The 16,769-nt window shown below is 45.6% G+C and overlaps 1 protein-coding gene across 9 annotated transcripts in view, besides 2 other annotated features; it reads left to right on the forward strand.

Moving 5' to 3' along the window:
• Positions 5,746 to 6,945: an enhancer, noted in NCBI's record as "MED14-independent group 3 enhancer chr12:32827128-32828327 (GRCh37/hg19 assembly coordinates)". NCBI's record gives its function as "activates an origin of replication core promoter dependent on BRD2, BRD4, P300/CBP and CDK7 cofactors, and independent of MED14, by STARR-seq in HCT116 cells {active_cell/tissue: HCT116}" and the evidence as "EXISTENCE:reporter gene assay evidence [ECO:0000049][PMID:35650434]".
• Positions 10,853 to 16,769, forward strand: part of DNM1L (dynamin 1 like) — a 66,350-nt gene continuing 60,433 nt past the window's right edge. For all 9 annotated transcript variants that reach the window (NM_001278464.2, NM_001278465.2, XM_011520543.4 and 6 more), the window contains exon 1: positions 10,853 to 11,017. In NM_001278464.2, coding sequence (NP_001265393.1) covers positions 10,916 to 11,017 — 102 coding nt within the window. In that variant the 5' untranslated portion in view covers positions 10,853 to 10,915. The remainder of the gene's footprint in view (positions 11,018 to 16,769) is intronic.
• Positions 11,001 to 11,410: a silencer, noted in NCBI's record as "silent region_4339". NCBI's record gives its function as "represses an Ori minimal core promoter by ATAC-STARR-seq in GM12878 lymphoblastoid cells {active_cell/tissue: GM12878}" and the evidence as "EXISTENCE:reporter gene assay evidence [ECO:0000049][PMID:35858748]".

The raw sequence follows: 16,769 nt of genomic DNA on the forward strand, positions 1-16,769 counted from the left end.
GCTCTTGCAAAGAATATTTTGGGATTTTTATGTACTGATATAGAAGCTATCAATAATGTAGTGATAAGTGGCAGGGAAAAAGCTTATGGGAGAAGGAGATTTTTTTCACTAAAAGTTAAATCAAAGAGAACTACATGTGTGTATGCTCTAATTTATATGTTTGTCCAAACCAGTGAATAGTATGAAGAACAGAAAGATGTTTACAGTGGTTCCCATCTGGGGAGCATGATCAGAGGTGAGGAGCTTTTTATAGATTACATTACTCATTTAATGATATTGCTAGGGACTGAGTTGTGTCTTCCCTACCCTACCCCCGCAAAATTCATATGTCGAAGAAGCCCTAACTCCCAAAGTGACTATATTTGGAGACATGGCTTTTATAGACTTAATTAAGGTTAAACGTCATAAGGGTGATCTGATAGAACTGGTGTCCTTATAAGAAGCAGAAGAGGCTGGTCGCGGTGGCTCACGCCTGTAATCCCAGCACTTTGGGAGGCCGAGGCAGGTGGATCACGAGGTCAGGAGATCGAGACCATCCTGGCTAACACGGTGAAACCCCCTCTCTACTAAAAAAATACAAAAAAATTAGCTGGGTGTGGTAGCGGGCGCCTGTAGTCCCAGCTACTTGGGAGGCTGAGGCAGGAGAATGGCATGAACCCGGGAGGTGGAGCTTGCAGTGAGCCGAGATCACGCCACTGCATTCCAGCCTGGGCAACAGAGCGAGACTCCATCTCAAAAAAAAAAAAAAAAAAAGAAGGAAATCTGGATATGGAGATGATGTGAACACACACAGGAAGAAGAGGCTGGGCACGGGGGCTCATGCCTGTAATTCCAGTACTTTGGGAGGCCAAGGCAGGCAGATCACGAGGTCAGGAGTTTGAGACCATCTTGGCCAACATGGTGAAACCCCGTCTCTACTAAAAAAATACAAAAATTAGCTGGATTTGGTGGTGGGTGCCTGTAATTCCAGCTACTCAGGAGGCTGAGGCAGGAGAATTGTTTGAACCTGGGAGGTGGAGGTTGCAGTGAGCCGAGATCACGCCATAGCACTCCAGCCTGGGTGACAAGAGTGAAACCCTGTCTCAAACACACACACACACACACACACATACACACACACACACACACACACACACAAAGAAGATGCCATGTGAAGATAGAAGCAGAGACTGGAGTTATGCTGCTACAAGCCATTAAATGCTTGGAGTCACCAAGTGCTAACTACTAGGAGAGAGGCATGACAGATTCTCCCTTACAGCCCTCAGTAGTGTTGGATGTAAAAATGTTCTAGGAATAAATGCTTGGTGCAGTGAAGTAAAACTAGCACTTAGGCAAAAGTTTAATTATCTCAGCAAGGCAATTTACTTCTGCAGAAGGGTGCTACCTGCATCAATCAAGATCGTAAGGGCACAGAGAACAAAGGAGACCAGGGTTTTTTTCTATCTTTAATGCAATCTTTACTTCTATGTCCCTACCCCATGGGCTGGGGTTGGACTGCACAATCTGAGCTGACTTGATTGGCTACTTGTATATATTTTTTTAAATATAGAAGGGGAGGGGGACATGAGGTACAGAGGTGGAGTGTGTGAGACGTGCAGTTTTGGGGGAACATTAGATGGGTGCAGGTAACCAAGGGAACAGATGTGAGTTATTGATTAGAGCTGATATGAAAGGGGTAGGCTGTTTTACAGTAACTAGGGGCAAGGAAGAACAGGAAAGTTGAGTTTGAGAACAAAAGACAAGGAAGTTAGTAGTCTAAATTTTTGAAGAGAAACTCAGAGAAATTCATTGTGTCTTACAGTAGGAACCAATCCTTGGGAACCTTGGTCTTGGACTTCTAGCTTCCAGAACTGTGAGACAATACATATCTGCTGTTCTAAACCAACCAGTCAGTGGTACTTTGTTACAGCAGCCCCAGGAAACAAATATATTCCACCACCAAGTTTATGCAGAAAGAGATTCATTCATTCATTTGACAGTCTTGCTCGGTTGCCCAGGCTGCAGTGCAGTGGTGCAATCTCGGCTCACTACAACCTCTGCCTCCTGGGTTCAAGCAATTGTCCCACCTCAGCCTCTCGAGTAGCTGGAGCTACAGCCGTGCAGCTCCATGCCCAGCTAATTTTTGTATTTTTAGTAGGGATGGGGTTTTGCCATGTTGCCAGGCTAGTCTCGAACTCCTGGCCTCAGTGATCTGCCTGTTTGGCCTCCCAAAGTGCTGGGATTACAGGCGTGAGCCACCACACCCGGCCCGAAAGATATTTAATATGGGAAATTAGATGCTTATAAATCTGTTAGAGTGCCTGGGAAAAACAGGTGTTAGCTAGACATCCAGGAATTACTTCCCGAACAATGTCACAAAATCAGTACACCAGAAGTTACTGTATATTTATCATAAGCGACAGCTGGCTCTCGGGATCTTTTTATCTCGACTGTTATCTGAGAATCAGGAAAATATCATCAGAACCATTAAGTCCAGAACCACGTCATGCTTCCCATGATCTTGCGTCCCAGAGTAGGTGTCCCTTTTGTTTGTCATAGTGTACTAGGGAGCCTTTAGATCTGCAAAGGTAGCAGCTAACCAAGGGCTAAAAGTGAAATTTCTCTTCACCATCAAATATGAGCAAATTGAGTTTGTGTGAGGGAGACAAAAAACAGAAAAACAGAGAAGGGAGATATGAAAAGCTTCTAAGAATGTCAAACAACATTTGAGAACCTGGAGTAGAGTTGTAAAGAGGCTAATGAGAAGGCTTGAGAAATGGGGCAAGTGAAGTAGTTTAAATGCAGGGATGTCTAACATATAATTTTCAGTTGTCACTGCTGTAATTTAAAATCACTATTGCTGGGCGTGGTGGCTCATGCCTGTAATCCCAGCACTTTCAGAGGCCAAGATGGGCGGATCACCTGAGGTCAGGAGTTTGAGGCCAGCCTGGCCAACATGGCAAAACCCTGTCTCTACTGAAAATACAGCCGGGCGCAGTGGCTCACACCTGTAATCCCAGCACTTTGGATGTCTAGCTAACACCTCAGGGCGGATCATCTGAGGTCAGGAGTTCGAGACCAGCCTGACCAACATGGAGAAACCCCGTTTCTACTAAAAAAATACAAAATTAGCCGGGCGTGGTGGTGCATACCTGTAATCCCAACTACTCGGGAGGCTGAGGCAGGAGAATCACTTGAACCCGGGAGGCAGAGGTTGCGGTGAGCTGAGATCATGCCATTGCACTCCAGCCTGGGCAACAAGAGCGAAACTCTGTCTTTCAAAAAAATAAATAAACAAAATACAAAAATTAGCTGGCGAGTGGCCCACGCCTATTGTAATCCCAGCTACTTGGGAGGCTGAGGTGGGAGAATCCCTTGAACCCAGGAGGCAGAGGTTGCAGTGAGCTGAGATTGTGCCACTGCACTCCAGCCTGGGCTACAGAGCGAGACTTGATCTCAAAAATAAATATATAAATATAAATAAAATAACTCTATTATCTCAAATAGTTTCTAAAATATGCCACAAATTTTGATGGTAGGAGGATAAAAAGAAGGGCTACGTTCTATTGGGGTGTGGGTGTGGAGCAAAGGGAAGAAATCAGGACCATATCTTAACTCCCAAGTTATTTTGTCGTTAACTGCTCTTAATTGTGTTGTCACACTGCCCTCTCATGGTCCCGTCAGTATCTCACCAGATTCAATTTCTGGCTTCTGAACCATCTGGCCAATTCCACCATCTGCAAACAATTTCCTGCACCTGCTAACAAAGTATGTGTTAAGCTTGAGGCCTGGGGAGTAGCAAATTGATTAAAGCTGTTTACTTTATCATCTTTGCAAAACACGGGCAGTTTCCAAAATATGACAAAGAGGCTTCCCCAACAGAGCTGTATATTTTATATTAACATTAGATCCCCACTAACCGCTATGATTTGAAGGTGCAGATACCGGCATCTTGGCTGTGATTGATGATCAAAATGTTGGCATAAAATGATATTGGACACATGCGATAAAAACAGTCTGACCTTTTCCAAGATCGATTAATTTCCAGTTATTAATTTAATCCAAAATAAACTTCCTCTAATTCGGGATTTTAAGTTAGAACAAAGCCAGGCTACTCCCTAGCTAAGTAACTTGGCATCTATTCTAATGAGGAGTCCTATGCCAAGCCAGACTCATATGTGTTGGTGAGATTTGATTGCCAGTCCTGGTTGCAATTATATCAATTCAGAGCTGCTTAAATCCTTGTTATTCCAGATTTTCCAAATAAAAAAGAAAAGAAAACCCCATATCCAGTAGACTAATATTATGTAACACGCTTCATACGAGGTAGTGGGGGAACCCAGCTAAATAAGATAATCACTTCTGCCCTTCGTGAGCTCACTATTGGTGAAGGGGGAGGGCATGTTAGTGCCATATCCACGGTTCCTCCCTACTCTCCAGCAAAATATACTGCCTGGCTAAGATCCGTATGCCTAACAAGTACTTCATCAATATGTGTTGAATTAATGAAGAAAGGAATAAATACACGAGGCAGAATGTGTAGCGGTTGAGAGTTTGCTGCCGGGCATGGTGGCTCACACCTGTAATCCCAGCACTTTGGGAGTCCGAGGCGGGTGGATCACCTGAGGTCAGGAGTTTAAGACCAGCCTGACCAATATGGTGAAACCCAGTCTCTACTAAAAATACAAAAATTAGCCTGGCGAGGCGGTGTGCGCTTGTAGTTCCAGCTACTGGGGAGGCTGAGACAGGAGAATTGCTTGAACCTGGGAGGCAGAGGTTGCAGTGAGTTGAGATCGCACCACTGTGGCGACAGAGTAAGACTGTTTCAAAAAAAAGAAAAAAAAGGGGGTTTGCCAAAAAGCCCCTTTTCATCCCATCTCTGCCACATACTAGCTGTGTAAATTTACCACTTCACTTCAATCCCTGGAGCCTCCGTTTCTACATCTCTAAACCTACTTCACGAGGCTCTGATAAAATGCTTAGTATAGTGCCTCACATACAATAAGCACTTAAATAATAGTTCAATAATATTGTGTGAAAAGGGCAACAAGGAAAAATGGAGAAATTCATATGGTTAACTATGGGGATTAGAATTCTGATGTTATGTGCTGTACAGCACATGTACATTTAAAAATATGGGAAAGTTGGCCAGGCGCAGTGGCTCATGCCTGTAATCCCAGCACTTTGGGAGGCTGAGGCGGGCAGATCACGAGGTCAGGAGATCAAGACCATCCTGGCTAACATGGTGAAACCCCATCGCTACTAAAAATACAAAAAATTAGCCGGGTGTGGCGGTGGGCGCCTGTAGTCCCAGTTATTCGGGAGGCTGAGGTAGGAGAATGGCGTGAACCCAGGAGGCGGAGCTTGCAGTGAGCTGAGATTGCACCACTGCACTCCAGCCTGGGTGATAGAGCAAGACTCTGTCTCAAAAAAAAAAAAAAATATATATATATATGTATATATATGGGTAAGTTACTGAATTTGGGGAAGTTCTTCAAGGTGAATAAAGAAGTTTATTCTTGCAAACCAATTTATTCCATGAGATAGGAAACATGATCTTTGGAGACATTGACTCACATGCTTACAGTTCTATAACCAGAGAGAGAAAATATTTTTGTTCAAATTCAGGTTAGGAAATTCTCAGAGAAGGATTCTAAATGGTCCTGCAGGTCCATCCCTAGACCAATCACCTTAACCAGGTGCAGTAGGCCCCTCCAATAAGTCCATGTCCTAATCCCTGGAGCCTGTGAACTTTATGTCTCAGGAGAGACTCTGTAGATGTGATTAAGGGTACAGGCCTTGAGACAGGGATATTATCCTGGGTTGTCCAGGTTGGCCAATCTAATGATGGGCCCTTAAACACAGAGAAGCTTTTCTGGGGGTCAGAGGCCTGATGACAGCAGAAGAGTTAAAGAGATGCGACATTGCTGGCTTTGAAGAGGTTGGAAGGAGGTAACCAGCAAGGAATGCAGGGGGCCCCTAACAAAGGCAAGGAGGTGAATTCCCTGCTAGAGGCTTTAGGAGGGTTTGCAGCCCTGGTGACACCTTGATTTTAGTCCAGTGAGACCTGTGTGAGACTACTGAACTATAGAACTGTAAAACAATACTTTTTTTTTTTTTTTGACATGGAGTCTCACTGTGTTGCCCAGGCTGGAGTGCAGTGGCGTGATCTTGGCTCACTGCAAGCTCTGCCTCCCAGGTTCACGCCATTCTCCTGCCTCGGCCTCCCGGGTAGCTGGGACTACAGGTACCCGCCACCACGCCCGGTTAATTTTTTGTATTTTTACTAGAGACAGGGCTTCACCATGTTAGCCAGGATGGTCTCAATCTCCTGAACTCGTGATCCGCCCGCCTCGGCCTCCCAAAGTGCTGGGATTACAGAAGTGAGCCATTGCGCCTGGCCACATTTTTGTTGTTTTAAGCCACTAAAATTGTGGTAATTTGTTAAGGCAGCAATAGGGAACTAATATACTAGAGAAGCAAGGCAGAAACCAGGTTCCTAGGTTTCAGTTCCTCCCCAGTTCTCTCTGCCTCATCTGCTGTGAGACAGCTTGCTGAATGAGATCCCCTACACCCTCCCCCACAGCACACTCACCTCATTCCACAGGAGTAAACTGCGTGAGAGAATGAAATAGACGATGTAGTGATAAGATGTAGAGCTCTGATTCTGCCTGAGCTCCTAGTTCCAGTCATTTTTTTTTTTGAGGTGGAGTGTCACTGTGTCACCCAGGCTGGAATGCGGTGACGTGATTTTGGCTCACTGAAACTTCCGCCTCCCGGGTTCAAGCAATTCTCCTGCCTCAGCCTCCCGAGTGGCTGGGATTACAGGCTCTCACCACCACCCCCAGCTAATTTTTGTGTTTTTAGTAGAGACGAGGTTTCACCATGTTGGCCAGGCTGGTCTTGAACTCCTGACCCCAACTGATCCACCCATCTCGGCCTCCCAAAGTGCTTGGATTACAGGCTAGAGCCACTGCGCCCAGACATTCAGTCATTTTTGAGGCAAGTTAGCTCAGAATTAAATTTCTGTCCTTACAATTAGCTATCCTGCCTAAATCATAAAGCTATGGTGAGAGAGGGATGGTTGCAGGAGAAGAGGTGTTTTTTGTTGTTGTTGTTTTTTTTTTTTGAGATAGAGTCTCACTCTGTTGCCCAGGCTGTAGTGCAGTGGCGCGATCTTGGCTTGCTGCAACCTCTGCCTCCCAGGTTCAAACAATTCTCCTGCCTCAGCCTCCCCAGTAGCTAGGACTACAGGCGCGTGCCAGCACGCCTGGCTAATTTTTTGTATTTTTAGTAGAGACGGGGTTTCACCGTGTTAGCCAGGATGGTCTCCATCTCCTGACCTCGTGATCCACCCACTTCGGCCTCCCAAAGTGCTGGGATTACAGGTGTGAGGCACCGCACCTGGCCGAGAAGAGGTTTTTTTAAAGGCCTTTTGATATCCGATAATGGTTTAATGTGATTCCCACAGGAAGCCACTGAAGAACACATTATTCTTAGATGCACAAAGACTCTTTTTTGTGGGAAATCCATTTAGCCACTTATTAGTTAAATTGATTTCCCACAAACAAGAGTGTTCTGAACTTAAAACATGAAAGCCGAAATTGGTTTTTTTTCTTCTTTTTTTTTTTTTTTAGTTGGAGTTTTGCTCTTGCCGCCCAGGCTGGAGTGCAGTGGCGCGATCTCGGCTCACTGCAACCTCTGCCTCCCGGGTTCAAGCGATTCTCCTGCCTCAGCCTCCCGAGTAGCTGGGATTACAGGCACGCGCCACACCAGGCTAATTTTTTTTTTGTATTCTTAGTAGAGATGGGGTTTCACCATGTTTGTCAGGCTGGTCTTGAACTCCTGACCTCAGGTGACCCGCCCACCTCGGCCTTCCAAAGTGCTGGGATTACAGGCGTGAGCCACCGGGCCTGGCTCTTTTTTTTTTTTTTTTTTTTTGAGACGGAGTTTTGCTCCTGTTGCCAAGGCTGGAATGCAATGGTGCAATCTCGGCTCACCGCAACCTCTGCCTCCCGGGTTCAAGCAATTCTCCTGCCTCAGCCTCCCGAGTAGCTGGGATTACAGGCGTGCACCATCACGCCCAGCTAATTTTTGTATTTTTAGTAGAGATGGGGTTTCTCCATGTTGGTCAGGCTGGTCTTGAACTCCCGACATCAGGTGATATGCCCACCTTGGCCTCCTGAAGTACTGGGATTACAGGCATGAGCCACCGTGCCCGGCCTTCTGTTTTCTTTAGAAGAAAACAAAAGCTCCATCAACAGAGGGGTGAGAAGCAAAGTGGGTAATATCTGACTATTATGTAATATTATCTTTGGTAGAAAGTCAAGAGACTTGGAATAAAACTGTTTTTTGGAGTTCTGAAATTTTTGTCTTATTTTATCTCTGAAAAATTTTTTTTTTGAAAATAATCAAAGAGGAGATGTTCACAAAACCTGTCAAGATGCCAAAACACCACTAATGGATCTTTAGGTCTTGGCTTACTTCATCCATTTGTTCACAGATATTTATTAAGCACCTGCCATTTGTCCTGCTGAACAAATCAAGCATGTTCCCCGCAGCCATTGTGTACAGCTAAGCAGGTGAATGGCACCCACTGGAGTTGCGTAGTGCACAACTTCCACTACTGCTGGTGGTTCTTGTCCTCATGGAGATTAAATTTAGTAACTTCTAGGAAGTCTTTCTCGAATCTCTATCCTCTTGCTCAGACTGGAAAAAGTGCTCTTATTATGTTTTCTTTTCTCTTTTCTCTTTTTTTTTTTTTGACACAGGGCCTCACTCTGTCACTTAGGCTGGAGTGCGGTGGCACGATCACAGTTCACTGCAGTCCCCACCTCCCAAGCTTAGGTGATCCTCCTACTGCAGCCTCCCAAGTAGTTGGGGCCACAGGTATGCACCACCACGACAGGCAAGCTAATTTTTTTGTATTTTTTGTAGAGACTGGGTTTTGCCGTGTTGCCCAGGCTGGCCTTGAACTCCTGACCTCAAGTGATCTGCCCGTCTCCTGCCTCAGCCTCCTGAGTAGCTGGGATTACAGGAATGCACCACCACGCCCGGTTAATTTTTGTATTTTTAGTAGAGACGGGGTTTCTCCATGTTGGTCAGGCTGGTCTTGAACTCCTGACCTCAAGTGATCCGCCTGCCTTGGCCTCCCAAAGTGCTGGAATTACAGGCGTGAGCCACGGTGCCTGGCCTCTCCTCACCTGCTTTAATTCTTTACTCAAATGTCACCTTTTTACTTTGAGGTTTACTTTTACCTTTGGAGGTTTGGAGTAGAGGAGGGATACTATCTGTCTAAAAAGAAAAACAACATTTAGAAATATAACAGTATGGGCCGGGCATGGTGGCTCAGGCCTGTAATCCCAGGACTGTGGGAGGCCAAGATGGGCGGATCACTTGAGGTCAGGAGTTCGAGACCAGCCTGGCTAACATGGTGAAACCCCGCCCCCCACCCGTCTCTACTAAAAATACAAAAATTTTCCCAGGGTGGTGGCGGGTGCCTGTAATAACAGCTACTTGGGGGGCTGAGGCAGGAGAATCACTTCAGCCTGGGAGGAGGAGGCTGCAGTGAGCCGAGATTGCGCCACTGCATTCCAGCCTGGGCGACAGAGTCAGACTCTGTCTCAAAAAAAAAAAAGAACGGTATGAGCAAAGAGTGAGTAAGGCAGTTATCAGATGTCTACTTTGCCAGGAATCAGGCTACAGCAAATAAAGGTTTATACATAATATTGATAATAAATGCCCAGCTCTTCCCCTGTAAAACTCCAATACTCTAAGATTTTTTTCATGAACACCGCCCCCCGCTGCTCCGACCCCTGCTTTTTTATTTATTTATTTATTTATTTGGTAGAGATGAGGTCTCACTATGTTGACCAGGCTGGTCTCGAACTCCCAGCTCAAGCGATCCTCCTGCTTCTGCTTCCTAAAGTGCTGGGATTACACCGCGCTCGGTCCTGAACACACATTTTGTTTGTTTGTTTGTTTGTTTACAAAACCCCTGGAGAACCCGCGTATTCTAACCTGGGCTGGTTTTTGTATTTTTGCAAAATAACACCCCACACATTCTCGTATCAGCGTGCAGATTTTTTTGCACCCAGTTTGGTTGTTTGCGGCCATAAGCTTTTCTTTAAGCCTTTCCAACCCGTCCTTCTAGAGAAAGTGTCTTCATAAGGAAGTCACACTGCTCACGCCTGTAATCCCAACACTTTGGGAGGCCGAGGCGGGTGGATCACTAGGTCCGGAGATCGAGACCATCCTGGAAAACACAGTGAAACCCCGTCTCTACTAAAAATACAAAAAATTAGCCGGGCGTAGTGGTGGGTGCCTGTAGTCCCAGCTACTCCGAAGGCTGAGGCAGGAGAATGGCGTGAACCCGGGAGGCGGAATTTGCAGTGGGCCGAGATCGCGCCACTGCACTCCAGCCTGGGCGACAGAGTGAGACTCCGTCTCAAAAAAAAAAAAAAAATAAATAAATAAAAAATAAATAAAAGGAAGTGACACTGGATAATTAAGAGACACACCATTGCGCCTTTAACACATATTCACACCCAGCACTGTCACATCCATCGTGCCTTGAGGACAGGCATAAATTTACGGCCTTCCTCCTGCGCTCCCGGCCTGCTCCTAGCCTTTGACTAGAGCCTGCGCAGCATCCCAGTCCCAGGCTAGGGCCCACCGGTGCCGCGCAGCCTCCTGGAAGCTGTGGGGAGTAGCGTTCCTCCGCTCCAGAACTACAACTCCCAGCAGGCCTTGCTCCTCTCCACCTCCCTCGCAGCGCATGGCCTGCCGGGAGGGGGCAGGTAGCCGGCGGGCCCGGTCCAATGGGTGCCGGCTTCCGAGGAGAGGGCGGAGGAGAGGAGGAAGGAGGCGAACTGTGGGCCCCGGCCCCATTCATTGCCGTGGCCGGCGGGCACTGGGGCCCCGTGTTTTCAGAGTCATGGAGGCGCTAATTCCTGTCATAAACAAGCTCCAGGACGTCTTCAACACGGTGGGCGCCGACATCATCCAGCTGCCTCAAATCGTCGTAGTGGGAACGCAGGTGAGAGCAGCAGGCGGCGTTCGCTCGGGCCAGACCCCGGCCGCAGGCCTGGTCGGTGCTGCGGCAGTGCCCACTCCCGCGCCAGCGCCCACTCCCGCGCCAGCCTTTGGGGCCTGTGGGAGGAGGGCCTTGCTGGGGGCCCCAGGGCTCTCCGGGCTCTGCCGCACCCGCCCTCCCGGGGCAGCGTTGCATCAAGGCGGAGAATCCGGGGCCCGGCCAGGGGCGGAGCCGGCGCGGCGGGCCTGGCTAGCCCGGCGGGTCCCGGGGACAGGAGAGGGAAGGATGGGGCCGGCGGGCGGAACTGGAGTCCGCTGGGACCGGGCGCGGCCTCGTCCGCGTGCCGCTGCCTCCAAGGGCACCTGGGGGACGCGCGGGGCACTCGGGTCTCGCTGGGCTCGGTGGGCTGGCTGTTCCCATCACTGTTGGCTTTCGTGAGACGGGTGTTTTATTTCCCTCCTTGCCTTGCCCAGGGACTGCGGAGTTAGTTTTGGAATCGCTCTGTTGAGGCTGAGAGACGCTACGGTGCGTGAGCGCCAGTGTTTTCCTGCAGTATAATTCCACCAGGTTTCGAGAACGCCGAAGCAGCATTTTAAAAAAAGAAAAACAAAACGTGTATCTAGAGTTCTGCGGGTGTTGGGAAGGAATATCCGATTTTTCTGCGTAGGCTGTGCTTTTTGTCTTCCACAGTTTTGTGATCGTGACCTAAATTGGGCATCAGTTTCTCTGGTCTTCTCATAGCTAACTCATTTTTTTTTGAATGCAGAAATGTTGGCAAAATAACTGTTATTTCTAGAGTGACAGAGGAGAAGTATAATTTTCCTTTTCTCTGCTACTTCGATTAGAGTTCAGAGAAACGGATTTTAGAAATTAGTATATTGATATTAAGTGCTTTCATTTCTTAATAGTATCTTTTCTATTGAGAAGGAGCGGTTTCCCCATCATTTTCCAGGAGGTACATAGTATAGGGTATAAGTGCTATCAGAAGGAACTTACTGTTCAAAGTATTAGTGGCTATCCAAACACTGGAAACTATAGACACCCTGTACTCGTTTGTTTGTTTGTTTGTTTTTTTGGCTTTTAAATAGTTGAAGCAATAGAAATTGTTTTAGAAACACATTTCCTTGGTCTGCGATAGGATTGGGAAAGATTCTGCTCAATCTTGCCTACGTATTCTAGTATTTGTAACAATATTTGTAATGTTTGGAGACTCAGAAGCATCAAACAAATTACGAGGATTATTTTTTATTGAACATAATTTTGTTCAGTCTGGGACATATAGTAAGTGCTCTGTAAATATTTTGAGTAAATATTGCTCACTCTAACCACAATGTTTTAAAACACTGGGACTTTTATCATCAAAACTAACCTGTTTTTGTAAAAAGTTAGAGATAATATAAATTAAGTCTTTGATAGTAAGTGATTCAGAAGTGTCTTCTAGCTGCACACTAGAAACTTTCCACATACTTTTAAAAGAGAGTCTCAGTGCTTTTTAAGCATGAGGAAGTAAAAGAATTAGGGATATAGTGTGTCAGCATAAATAGTTTAAAATCAATAAGTTGTTTTTTTCTTTTTACACAAAATAGAGTTTATTTTGGTCAGTAAACCTGTTGGCAAAATACAGAGTGGCAGGAGAGAAAAGTAAAGATCCCATCCTTCTGAAAGCCATTAACATGTGCAAAAACCATCCTAGTACTGACAGTTATATGCTATATTTGCATGTTGGTGTTTGAAATTTCTCAAGAGGTCAGTTTTTCTACTTGATTTAATGAGGGTTATTTCCATCTAAGTTCTTATTAGCTGATAATCAGTCTTTTACTCAAGTACAGAAGAAATACAGAATAGAAATTATCCGAGGTAGGCAGATCACTTGATTCCAGGAGTTCAAGACCAGCCTGGGCAACGTGGGGAAACTCCATCTTTACGAAAAATACGAAAATTAGCTGGGCATGGTGGTGCGAACCTGTAGTCCCAGCTACTCTGCAGGCTGAGGTGGGAGGATCACCTGAGCCTGGGAGGTTGAGGCTGTGGTGCGTGCAGGAGTGCATGTCACTGCACCCCAGCAGAAAGAGAGAGAATAGAAACTATTTTCTCCCCACACCGCCCCCCCCGCCCCTATTTTCTCCCCACACCGCCCCCCCGCCCCCGCCTTTTTTGTAGTGTGTTGGGGAAACAAGAATCTCTTCTTGGTTTGAATACTAGTATACCATTACTTTGTGATGTCTGCCATTTTTACTCTTTGGTGTTGTGTAACATATATGTATACCTCACATTTATATTTAATGAAGTAATTGTAGTGAGTGAGTTCCAGACATATAAGTGTTCTGTACTTAGTTCTGCCTAGTATACCTATCGGCAGTAATTGTGTCTTCAGAATACAGGTATAAATTAGCCAGGTGCTATGGTGTGTAGTGTGTGCCGGTAGTCCCAGCTACTTGGGAAGATTGCCTGAGTCCAGGAGTTTGAGGCTGCAGTGAGCTATGATTCTGCGATGGCACTCCAGCCTGGGCGACAGAGTGAGACCCTGATTCTTCCAAAAAAAAATTAAAAAACAACTTCAAGTGTAGTCTCTATCCTACATATTATCCATACCTTAAATGGCTTCAGTTTCTATCTTGTTGAACTTTTTGGAACAGTGATTCTCAGACTTGAGTGTGTATTAAGAATCACTTTGGTTTTTTTTTTTTGAGACCGAGTTTCGCTCTTGTTGCCCAGGCTAGAGTGCAGTGCCATGATCTTGGTTCACTGCAACCTCTGCCTCCCGGCTTCAAGTGATTCTCCTGCCTCAGCCTCCCACATAGCTGGGATTACAGGCATGCACCACCACGCCCGGCTAATTTTGTATTTTTAGTAGAGACAGAGTTTCTCCATGTTGGTCAGGCTGGTATCCAACTCCCGACCTCAGGTGATCCACCCGTCTCGGCCTCCCAAAGTGCTGGGATTACAGGTGTGAACCACCCCGCCTGGCCTAAGAATCACTTTGAAACTAAGTTTCCTGGATCCTGTCTCCAGAGATTTTGATTTTATAAGCCTGGGTTGGGTGAGGGACCATAGGTGATTCTGATACAGATGGTTCCTAGATCCTAATTTGAAAAACATATTAGTGAATCATTGGATTTTAAAATGCATGATACTGGAAAAAGCAGGAAAATTAGGGGAGGTTGAATCTATGGCATACTACCATCCAGTACCATGCTGACTTTGGTGGCATTCTTGCTTTAATATATCACTTCCCAGGCAACCATTGCTGACCCCTAAATGTTTTAAACTTTGGTTTTATGAAATGCCCAAGTAACACTCATTTGGGGGCTAGGGACTTGGAGGAGTGGAGGTGAGGGAATCCTGTTTACAGCTATCAGTCATTCACATGTTTTATGTGTTAGCTAAATAAATTGCTTTTATTTTTTCTAGTAGAGACCATCTGTGTGAAATGAACAGACACAGTGGGGAGAGAGAGAAGGCTGATGATACTTTTAGACCATGGTGTAACTTTGCAAGTAGAGGAGATAAGACTTAAAACAACTTTTGTGACTCAACTTGGGAAATTTAATCCTATTTCTTAAATTAAGAATTGGAAAGGGGAGCCCTCCAGGTATGTAATCTAAACTACCACCCAATATAGGTATCCGAATACAGATGACATTAACCTGAGACTCTGGCTTAGTGTTCCTAGTAATGTACTTTACACTTTTCCTTTTATTTCAGTGATTTCAGCATTCTATCTTCAGTAATTCAGACAAATGTAAAAGGAAAAACAATTTGGATTTTTTATTTTTATTTTTTTAGGGTCTGGCTCTTTCACCCAGGCTGGAGTGCAGTGGCATAATCCATAGCTCACTGTAACCTCAAATTCCTGGGCTCAAGCAGTCCTCTTGCCTCAGCCTCCTGAGTAGCTGGGACTACAGGCACGCATCTGGCTAATTTTTTTTTTTAAATTTAAAATCGCTGCCTTACTATGTTGCCAAGGCTGGTCTCAAACTCCTGGGCTCAAATGATCCTCTTGCCTTGGCCTCCCAAAGTGCTAGGAGTATAGGTGTGAGCCACTGCACCTAGCCTAAAAATAATTTGGATTTTATTTTATTTTATTATTTATTTTTTTAGAGATGGAGTCTTGCTCTGTTGTCCAGGCTGGAGTGCAGTGGTGCGATCTCAACTCACTGCAACCTCCGCTTCCCGAGTTCAAGTGATTCTCCTGCCTCAGCCTCCTGAGTAGCTGGGATTACAGGTGCATGCCACCACGCCCAGCTAATTTTTGTATTTTTAGTAGAGATGGGGTTTCACTGTGTTGGTCAGGCTGGTCTCGAACTCCTGACCTCATGATCCACTTGCCTTGGCCTCCCAAAGTGCTGGAATTACAGACATGAGCCACTGTGCTCGGCCTAATTTTTGTATTTTTAGTAGAGACAGCATTTTACAACGTTGGCCAGACTGGTCTCAAACTCCTGACCTCAAATGATCTGCCTGCCTCAGCCTCCTGCTGGGATAACAGGTATGAGCCACCATGCCCGGCCAGTAATTTGGATTTTAATTTCTAATTTGCAAATCAACTTTTAAAAATTTAACATTAAAAATACTGAAATATTCATGTAACACAAAATTCACCCTTATAAAGTATACACAACTCAGCAGCGTTTAGTATGTTCACAAAGTTGTACCACCATAGTGTAATTCCAAAATATTTTCATTACCTGAAAAAGAAAACTCCTGCCCATAAGCAGTCACCCCCGTTTTGTCCTCCCCCAGCTTCTGACAGGTTTTGATTTTATAAGCCCCACGTGGGTGAGGGTCCATCGGTGACTCTGATACAGATGGTTCCTAGATCCTAATTTGAAAAATATATTAGTGAATCATTGGATTTTAAAATGCATGATACTGGAAAAAGCAGGTATCACTGGCAACCACTAATCTACTTTTTGTCTGTATGGATTTGCCTATTTGGGATATTTCACATTAGTGGAATCCTATAATATGTGATTTGATCTTTTGTGCCAGGCATCTGTTGCTCAACATAATTCTTTTTTTTTTTCTTTTTTGAGACAGAGTTTTGCTCTGTTGCTCAGGCTGGAGTGCAATGGCACAATCTCAGCTCACTGCAACCCTTCACCTTCCGGGTTCAGGTGATTCTTCTGCCTCAGCCCGGATTACAGGCGCGTGCTACCGCACCCAGCTAATTTTTTTGTATTTTTAGTAGAGACGAGGTTTTGCCATGTTGGCCAGGCTGGTCTCGAACTCCTGACCTCAAGTGATCTGCCTGCCTCAGCTTCCCAAAGTGCTGGGATTATAGGCATGAGCCACTCAACATAATGTTTTTTAGGTTCATCCATTATGTAGCATGGCAGAATAATAAATATTACATTGTATAGATACAGCACAGTTTATTCATCAATTGATGAATTTTTGGGTTGTTTCTATTTTTTGGCTATTATGAATAAATAATGCTCTGCGAACATTCGTTTACAAGTTTTTGTGTGAATGTGTATTTTTTTTTTTTTTTTGAGATGGAGTCTCGCTCTGTCACACAGGCTGGAATGCAGTGGCGTGATCTTGGCTCACCGCAAGCTCCGCCTCCCGGGTTTACGCCGTTCTCCTGCCTCAGCCTCCCGAGTAGCTGGGACTGCAGGTGCCCGCTACCACGCCCAGCTAATTTTTTGTTTTTAGTAGAGACAGGGTTTCACCGTGTTAGCCAGGATGGTCTCGATCTCCTCACCTCGTGATCCACCCGCCTCGGCCTCCCAAAGTGCTGGGATTACAGGCG

The sequence above is a fragment of the Homo sapiens genome, chromosome 12 (genome assembly GCF_000001405.40).
Source record: "Homo sapiens chromosome 12, GRCh38.p14 Primary Assembly".
NCBI classification, from domain to species: Eukaryota; Metazoa; Chordata; class Mammalia; order Primates; family Hominidae; genus Homo; species Homo sapiens.